Raw genomic sequence first — 6600 nt, 5'->3', positions numbered from 1 at the left:
GAGGCAAGAGGGAGCCTGGGAAATTGGAGGGAATCTGGTAAGAGCTGAGGAACAGTTACGGGATCAGGCCTGGCCTTGAAGGTCTTTACCCTAAGTACAATGCAAAGATCACTGATCCTTAAAAAGAATATGTTATATACTGCAGAGGACAAAAGTGAAGGAATGTGGCCACTCCTGCCTTTTTCCCTCAGTACTAGGCTGTTCCACTCTTGGCCCACTCCAACCAGGGTTCTTCTGCTTTCGTTCTCACCTCCTAGAATACTTTTAGCCTGTTCTTCTCTCTCCTGACCCCAATGCCCCATTCTTGGGTCTCAGCCTGGTGGCCTCGTCTTTGTCTTTTTTTTTTGAGACAGGGTCTCACTCCATCACCCAGGCTGGAGTGCAGTGGTGTGATCTTGGCTCACTGCAACTTCCACCTCCTGAGTTCAAGCGATTCTCATGCCTCAGCCACTGGGATGAGAGCTGGGATGTAGCTGGGGTTATAGGCACCTGCCCGAACACCTGGCTATTTTTTTTTTTTTAATATTTAGTAGAGACGGGGTTTCATCATGTTGGCCAGGCTGGTCTCAAACTCCTGACCTCAAGCCAGCTGACCGCCTTGGCCTCCCAAAGTGGTGGGATTACAGGCATGAGCCACTGCACCTGGCCTGTCTTTTCCCAGACAGATCCTCTCCTCTTTTCCCTAGCACTTCCCTTGCTCTGCCTGCCCCCCACCCCCACCCCCAGGCCTCCAGGCCTCCACATGGGGCACCAGCCCCAGCTTCTGCCCTGACCTGCACCCCTAGTTGAGTGGCCCACTGTGTACTGTGGATGCTGCCAAACCCACAGCCCCGGTGTGTCTCTGAGAACTCTGACTGCTGGGCTCTTACTGGCCCCTGCCTGCCTCATGGGAAAAGTAACTCTGGGCTGTGGGGCAGGGAGGGGACCAGGAGCACCTGCAGCTTGGACATAGATTCCACAGGTTTGAGCCAAGGTAGAGCCCACTAAAGGGAAACACATGTGGCAGATGCAGCCTCAGCCTTTATTATAGGGACTTAGTTCACTGAAGGATGGGGGAATTGTTATGGGGGTGTTTAAAGTGGTAAAATGGGAGGAAAGTCAACTCTGACAGGAGTGGGGTGAGAGGAATAATGGAGTGTTGGAAGGTGAGGCACTGGGGGCAAGGAGAGGGACAGAGGGAGGAGAGGGCTCTAGGGGAGAGGAGGGCAGGAGGAGGAGGCGAGGGCACCAAGGGAGCCACAGGCCTGGGGCCTGGGAGCAGGTGGGCTGGGGAGCTGGATGGTGCCCTGGGCTTCCTGGAGAAGCTGCTGCTCCGGGCAGACCTCCTTACTTGCGGGAGCCCAGTGCCAGGGCAATGATGAAGCCCAGCACCAGCAGGAACATGGCGACAGAGAGCAGCACCGTGATGACCACCATGCCCCCTGTGCGGGCCATACCCAGCCCAATGGATTCCATGTTCCTTCCTGTCAAAAGAGAGGGGAGACCACTGTGGGCGGGAGAGACCCCCAGCCTGCCTGAGGCTCACGGCCTCACACTCATCCAGCCAACAGACTGCCCAACCAACCAGCCAGCCAGCCAGCCAGCCAGCCAGCCAACCAACCAACCAACCAACCAGCTGATGGATCCAAACACCCATCACATAGACATTTATGAAGCATCTCCTATGTCAGCCGCTGAGGAAAAGTTAAGAGGACACAGTCCCTGCCCACGAGGAACCTTTAGCTGAGTGTGCAGTAGCCATGCCGAAGGTTCCGTGCTAGGATAGAGGTAAGCAGGGGCCCCGAGGGCGCACGGGGAGGCACAGGCAACCCAGACTGGGGATGAGGCAGGAATGGTCAGGGAAGCGTTTGTGGCCGCTGAGATGGGAAAGGGAGGCGGGAGTGTTACTTACGAGGGAGTGTGGACATTGGGATCTCTCTGCTGGACTCAGTGGCTGTCCCCTTCTTCACTAGGTAGGAAATGCTTTTGTGGTTTGGGAGAGAGTAGAGAACCCTCAGTGAGTATTGGGACTTACAGGAAGAGGGGCTCCAGCCTGGGCCACCTACCCTCACAGCTGTGTCTCCCCTATGTGCACTCCTCCAAGAGGCCCAGCTTTCACCCCCTTTTGCTGTGCCCTCACCCTCTCCTCATGCCCACCAGATCTCCCCCACACTAGCTTCTCTCTCTTCCTGCACCCCCTTCCCTAGGTGCCTCAGGCTGGACCCAGTACCTACTAGAATTTGGTTCCTGGCACGAGGTTTGTCACCTGGTATGCACTGAGCCGAGTGACTGTGAAGCCAGCACCACTGTCCACCACACTCACCAGTTCCCTGCGCCCACGGCACGGAGGCACCACAAAGCTGGACGTCACCACTGGGCAGAAGTGGCGGGAGGGGAAGACTGGGTCAAGTTTCTGGAGGCCCCAAGGAGAAGGGGCAGCTTTTAGAGTGTGGGTACCCCAGGAGACGGGTGGACAGGAAGGCATGAATGGGGAAAAGGGTGCAGAGGGTGTCGCAGGAAGGGGTCTTTGGGGACTAGAGGGATGCCTTGGGAGAAGGTAGCAGACCTTTGCTGTCATTGGCTCTCCGGACCATCAGTGTGGCATTGCCTCCTGTGAGGTGACAGGGGGGCAAGGCAACCAGCAGGCTCTCCGTTAGCGCCGGGGACAGCAGACCAGAGAGGCTTGAGATGTTGAAGTCTGATGGGAGGCAGGAGGGAGCTCCGATGGGGACTGACCCCTCCTGGCCAACAGATCTGGCCCGGTCCCATTGGAGCCATCTCCCTTTCCACTCTGTGAACCCTGGGCAGAACAGCCAGGCCTGTGCCAGTATGACCACCAGGTGGCAGGCTTGGGCTGCAGAAGCTGCACCCTCCACCAAGCGGTCCCCAGAGCCAGAACCTGGATGCCAGGAGTCGGGCAGCGCCCAACCTCACCCCTCCCCGCAGCATCGGATCCTTGCCCACACCTCTCTGCCTCCTAGGTCTGGAGGAGGATCAGGAGTGTACCCTGAGCCCAGTGTCTGATACCCAGTCACTGCCATCACCAGCCCTGACTCCCAACTGTCCAGACCTCTCTTTGAGAGCCCTGGAAGGTACAGTGCTCCCTGTCCAGGCCCCCAGCCCCCTTCCCACCCCTGCCAGAGATGGAAGAGACCTGCAGCCCCTGGGGACAGCAGAGCCAGCAGAATCAGGATCAAGGGCAAGGTCCGGATGGGCAGCAGGGGTGCCATGCTGGGCTGGGAGGTGGAATAGGTGCTGGCAGGCTGGGGTTCCTGAGGCAAGTGAGGCCCTGCCCCTGGGGTGGCTGATTTTGTCCTGGGGGTGGGAGGGGCTGGAGGGGAATCCAGTCCAACCTGCCCCTTGGGCCCTATAGCCTCAAAGGGGTGGGGAGAGCAGACAGGTTTTTCAGGATGGGGAGCTGGCCCTCAGGCCAGGAGGGGGGATGCCCTGGCTGGGTCTTGATGGTGTAACTAAGGTGGGGAAAGAAATCACCCCTTCTTCTGGGACTCCCGTGCATAAGGCAGTGTTCCTGTGTGCACGGGCATCTGGAGACTGGCCAGTCCTTGGAGGACTGCTCCCCCGATGTGGTGGGGGTCTTTCCCCCACCCCTCAGAAGGGTGATGAGTTTGGAAGTTGCCCTGATATGTAGGAAGAGAATACTCCAAGGGGCTACTGAAAGGGCCTTGAGTGGGTAAGAATGGGAGAGAAACATTCTGGTGGGGAGGGGCAGCAGACTGAGGGTTTCAATTCTTGGAGTGCACTGAGGCTTAGGTACTGCTGCTCTGGGAGAGGCAGGGGCTGTGGGGGCCAGGGAGCACATGCGGTTTCAGATTCCTCTGGAGGGTGGGGACGAAGGTGGCCATGGAAGACTTCTGGAGAGACCAGAGAGACAGACATTGACCCTGGCCAGCAGGGGTTGGGGGTGGGCACAGTCAGCCTTGGGCAGCAACCATTTGTTGAACTGAGAATGGAGAAAAGAGACCTCGTAAGATAACATGAAAAAGAGACAGAACTTCCCTGACTGCCTCCTCCAGCCCTGGGCTACATCAGAAAGAAGCAGAGGAGTTCTGAGCAGAGGGAGGGGAGAGGAGTCAGGACGTCTTCCGGGCCCTGGGTAGGGGTTCTGTGTGCTCCATTGTAGCCCTACAGCCACCCTGGGTGGTAGCTGGTACTGGCTTCCTTTTGTAGTAGAACTGAGGCCAGGCACAGTGGCTCATGCCTGTAATCCCAGCACTTTGGGAGGCCAAGGTGGGAGGATCACTCGAGGCCAGGAGTTCAAGACCAGCCTAGGCAACACAGAGAGTTTGATCTCTATTAAAATAGAAAAGAGATCAGCCGGGCGTGGTGGCTCATGCCTGTAATCCCAGCACTTTGGGAGGCCGAGGTGGGCGGATCACCTGAGGTCAGGAGTTCGAGATCAGCCTGGCCAATATGGCGAAACACCATCTCTACCAAAAATACAAAAACTAACGCGGTGGTGTGTGCCTGTAATCCCAGCTACTCGGGAGGCTGAGACAGGAGAAACACTGGAACCCAGGAGGTGGAGGTTGCAGTGAGCCGAGATTGTGCCCCTGCACTCCAGCCTGGGCAACTAAGTGAAACTCTGTCTCAGAAAATTGAGAGAGAGAGAGAGAGAGAAAAGTGGAAACTGAGACTCAGACACATAGAGTTACTTGTGGAAAGTGGAATACTTTGTCGGGAGAGGCTGTAGAACTTCCAGAAGCCTGAGAGCTGTACAGAGACTGTTGCTGTATATCTGTTTGCTCCACGAACTATTCTATCTTCCTCAGTCCCAGGGAAGCTTAGGGTCCTGGTAGGAATGTGAGGGAGGTTGTGTCCTTACCGCCAAGGTGGGAAGGGTAGGCTCAAAGTTTGGGGTGAGTGGAGAATGACAGTAAAGGAAGAACTCATGGGCCTAAGCAGAGAGTAGGAGGGTCTTACGCCAGTGCATCTCCAAATTTAATATGCGTATGAATTACCAGGGATCTTGTTAAGATGCAGCTTCTCATGCAGTCATGCAGTGGGTCTGGGGTGAAGCCTGAAATTCTGCATTTTTTTTTTTTTTTGAGACAGAGTCTCGCTGTGTCACCCAGGCTGGAGTGCAGTGGCGTGATCTCGGCTCACTGCAACCTCTGCCTCCCAGGTTCAAACGATTCTCCTGCCTCAGCCTCCTGAGTAACTGGGATTATAGGCATGTGCCACCATTCCCAGCTAATTTTTGCATTTTTAGTAGAGATGAGGTTTCACCATGTTGGCCAGGCTGGTCTCAAACTCCTGACCACAAGTGATCCACCCGCCTTGGCCTCCCAGAGTGTTGGGATTACAGGTGTGAGCCACCGTGCCCAATCAATTCTGCATTTCTAGTGACTTCCCCGTAACACTGATGATGCCGGTCTGAAAGGCCCACACTTGAAGTTGCCAGCTGCTCTGTATTGGTAAACAGCATCCCCACCCCCAGCTGGATCCTCTTCCACGGACATCAGGGATCAGGGCAGGTGTTCCTTCCCAATCTGCCCGAACAGGCTGCTTTTGGGTGAAGAATTTGGTTCTGTTTTTCCTGCACCTTGGCTTTTGATTCCACCACCACTGCACAAATGGAAAGAGGGTCTCTTGCACATTAAGGACAACTTGGGAGAGAGGGGACAGATTAAATGGTGGAATGCCAGGGTGAGGGGATCTTCCTGGTACTCCTCAAAACCTGTCACCCACCAGTAAGTTGTTTACACTTGAACTGGGAGGTCTTTCTCCTCATTCACAACCAAGAAGCAGAAAGAAGAGGTTGGGTTTATTGCAGGGTGGGTTGAGTTGGGTCCACTCTTAAGCCCCCATCCCCATCTAAAATTATGAGTGGTACAGAGTGGAGTAGGGGAGGGCAGATCTCTGATCAGATTTTAAAGGGATAAGAGGGCCCTGTGCCTTTAAGCTCTCCCTTCTCCCTCCAATCCCCCCCCCCCACCTTCCCCACCCCAGCCCTCCCCAGGTTTCTGGAGGAGCGGGGAGTTGCGTCTTCTCCCTGCCCTGCCGAGCTGCTCACTGGCTGCTCTGGAGGCTGTGCTTTGCGGTCTCCATGGAAACCATTAGTTGCTAAGCAACTGGAGCATCATCTGTGCTGAGCTCTCGCATCTAATTATCCCATCACAGCAGCCGAGAAGGGTTTGGGGAGCTGAGAGGAGGGGGAGGCCAAGCCCAGGAGCAAGAGGATAACTCTTTTAGCAGAGCAGATTCATTGACAATGCTGAAGTCAGTTAAAGCCACAGCACCATGTTCCTCTGGAGGATTTCCCAATGGCTTGGAGTAAGGGAACCAGGGCCACATGCCTGAAGTCTCTGTCTTGGACCCACTCTTTCTAGGCTGTCTCCTCCTTGGATTCTTGATTCTAAACTCTCTTGAGTTCCCTCCCCTGCCTCCTCTCTTCCAAATCTCCTATTCAAGCACTCCTATTGCGTACCAACTATGTCCTTGGAACTGCACTAGCCACCAGGGATATAAAGGTAAGATAAGTCTCTGCCCTCAGGGAGCTCTTAACAGCTCTAGTCTGCTCAGCCTAGAAGACTATCTCCTAAAACAAACTTCTTTCTGGACTGTGGCACCTTTTTTTTTTTTTTTTTTTTTTCACTTGAA

At 55.3% G+C, this 6600-nt stretch overlaps 1 protein-coding gene across 1 annotated transcript; it reads right to left on the bottom strand.

Moving 5' to 3' along the window:
* Positions 1–1000: 1000 nt before the first annotated feature.
* On the bottom strand, positions 1001–3262 carry UPK2 (uroplakin 2). Its single transcript, NM_006760.4, has 5 exons — positions 3134–3262; positions 2546–2677; positions 2214–2352; positions 1892–1962; positions 1001–1463 (listed from the first exon to the last, which is right to left on the bottom strand). Exons 1-5 carry the CDS (start codon positions 3207–3209, stop codon positions 1327–1329), a joined length of 555 nt encoding a protein of 184 aa, NP_006751.1. The 5' UTR covers positions 3210–3262; the 3' UTR covers positions 1001–1326.
* Between the last annotated feature and the right edge of the window lie 3338 nt (positions 3263–6600).

This window comes from Homo sapiens, chromosome 11 (genome assembly GCF_000001405.40).
Source record: "Homo sapiens chromosome 11, GRCh38.p14 Primary Assembly".
NCBI classification, from domain to species: domain Eukaryota; kingdom Metazoa; phylum Chordata; class Mammalia; order Primates; family Hominidae; genus Homo; species Homo sapiens.
This window is presented reverse-complemented; position numbering and strand designations above follow the sequence as displayed.